This window comes from Homo sapiens, chromosome 2 (assembly GCF_000001405.40).
Source record: "Homo sapiens chromosome 2, GRCh38.p14 Primary Assembly".
Classification (NCBI taxonomy): Eukaryota; Metazoa; Chordata; class Mammalia; order Primates; family Hominidae; genus Homo; species Homo sapiens.
Window position 1 is genome coordinate 235,126,291 of NC_000002.12, and position 2,527 is coordinate 235,128,817.

Below are 2,527 nucleotides of genomic sequence, written 5' to 3' on the forward strand. Positions count from 1 at the left end.
TCCATAGCATACTTTTACATTTTTGTTTTTAGTTTTCTTATTTATTCTCTCATAGCACTTTTTTTCATAATGTTCACATGCATAAGGAGATTCTTTGATATTGCATAGTTTTGTTACTGCTGTGAATTGCATATTATTTTTTATTATATTTTCTAGTTGTAGTTACCTATGCAGAAAATGCTGTTGTGTTTTTGTGATTTGATCTGGTATCTAGTTGACTTTTCTAAACTCTCTCATTGTTTCTAAATAGTCAATTATGTTTATTTTTTAAGTGTAGTGTTGGAGAGAAATTTTTTCCCAGAGTTTTGTTTAAAATGACAACACAGATCTTATTCAGACTATTGCAGTAGGAGGGAGAGAGTTCAGTACAGAACTGAGCTGAACTCTGATCTGTGCAGAGATGACTGGGTGTTTTAAAGAGAGAATGAGAGAGTAAGAAGGGGAAATAAACAGGGATTCCAGCAAAGTCAGGAAAGTAGACAATTGCAGAAGACGATGGTGGGTGGGTCAATGTTAGGCCATCTGTGTCTGCCAACTAGTGTTTATCCAACTTAGGTTCCTAACTTTCCACACAGATGGGGAGGCAAAGGCCCTATATTTATTGATGATTACATGTCAACAAGGACCTGGCTGGCTCCCAGGTCCTTAAGAAAGACATTCCTGTGTTGTAGAAGATGCATCTCAAAGGAACAGAGACCGGATTTACAAATGCAAGTTTCTAAAGTAAATGCTCTAAGAAAAGGGAGGTCAGGGGCCTTTAGTCAGGATTTGGCTGGAACAAACAGTAAATTCTTTTGGCGTGTTGAGCTTTCTCAGACAGGAACTTAAGGAGACTGGGGCTGTCATCCTAGGGACATGGGCTTGAGCTAAAAGAAACTATGCAAGTGTATGTTCAAGTCTCTTAGTGTGGCGGGTGGACAAAAATCATTTGTGATGAAAGTTTGCAGTTCTCACAGGCCAAGCTCAAGGCCTAGTGGAGTAGAGGGCTCAGTTTGGTCGTGGAGAGAGTCTTAGTCAATAGGATCATATCATTTGCAAAATGTAGTTTTAAATCATTTCTTCCAAACACTATTAACACTTTTCTTTTATAACTGTCTTATATGTCATTACCACCAGTATTTCTTCAGATACTAGTAGCTGAAATCTTTTCATTAAATAATAGCTGGGCTCATGCTTGTAATCCCAGCACTTTGGGAGGCCAAGGCAGGTGGATCACTTGAGATCAGGAGTTCAAGACCAGCCTGGCCAACATGACAAAACCCCATCTCTACTAGAAAAACACAAAAATTAGCTGAGTGTGGTGGCGCATACCTTGAGCCTGGGAGGTGGAGGTTGCAGTGAGCTGAGATCACACCACTGCACTCCAGCCTGGGAGACAGAGTGAGACTCCATCTCAAAAAAAAAAAAATTTAAATTAAATAATAAATAAAATAAGATGTTTGCTGTAGGTTGTGAAGTTCTCCATATTTCCTAGTTTGCTAAGAAGATTAAATAATATAAATAATTATTGAACTTTATTAAATAGTATTTTCTGACTCTATTGAGATAATCTTAAGGCTTTTAAAATTTAACTAATGTGTTAGTCCATTCTCACACTGCTAATAAAGACATACCCGAGACTGGGTAATTTATAAAGAAAAGGAAGTTTAATGGACTCACGGTTCCACATGGCTGGGGAGGCCTCACAATCATGGTGGAATGTGAAGGAGGAGCAAAGGCATGTCTTACATGGTGCCAGACAAGAGAGCGTATGCAGAGGAACTGCCCTTTATAAACCATCAGATCTTGTGAAACTTACTCACTATCACGAGAACAGCTGGGAATAACCCACCCTCATGATTCAATTACCTCCCACCAGGTCCCTCCCACTACAAGTGGAGATTATGGGAGCTACAGAGCAAGATGTAATTTGGGTGGGGACACAGACAAACCATTTAAACTAACAATGTGGTAAATACATTCTTAGATTCTTCAGCTATTGAGCCATCTTTACAATACTCAGATAAACCTCATTTGATTAAGATGTAATTTTTAAAATATCTTCTTAGATTAGGTTCACTAGTATTTTGTTAGGGTTGTTACATGACTGTTCAGAAATGAAATGGAACTATATATATTTTTCTTGTACTACCTTACCCAATTTTGCAAAGTTACACATGCATCAAAAAATTAATTTGGAAGCTTCCCATTTTCTAGAATAATTTATGTAAGATGGAAATTATCTCTTCCATCTAAGTTTGATTACCTGTCAAACTGAACCTAGGGGTTATTTTCAGGAGAGGATGGTCTTTAATTTTCATTTAAGCTTTTACATTTTTGTGGTTTTGTTCAAGTTTTCTATTTTTTTCTGTGCCTATTTTCGCATTCTCTATTTTTTCTAGAAATTTATTTATTTTCTCCAGCTTTTATAATTTATCAGAGCATAGTTGTTCATGATATTCTCTTTTTTAAAAATCTGTAGCTTCCCATCTATTTATTCTTTTTTTTTTTTTTTTTTTTTTTTTTTTTTGAGATAGTCTCACTCTGT

At 36.4% G+C, this 2,527-nt stretch overlaps 1 annotated feature.

The window, feature by feature from the left end:
- Positions 377-972: an enhancer, noted in NCBI's record as "OCT4-NANOG hESC enhancer chr2:236035311-236035906 (GRCh37/hg19 assembly coordinates)". NCBI's record gives its function as "activates a minimal SCP1, AML or CMV promoter by ChIP-STARR-seq in naive H9 embryonic stem cells {active_cell/tissue: H9 hESC(naive)}" and the evidence as "EXISTENCE:reporter gene assay evidence [ECO:0000049][PMID:30033119]".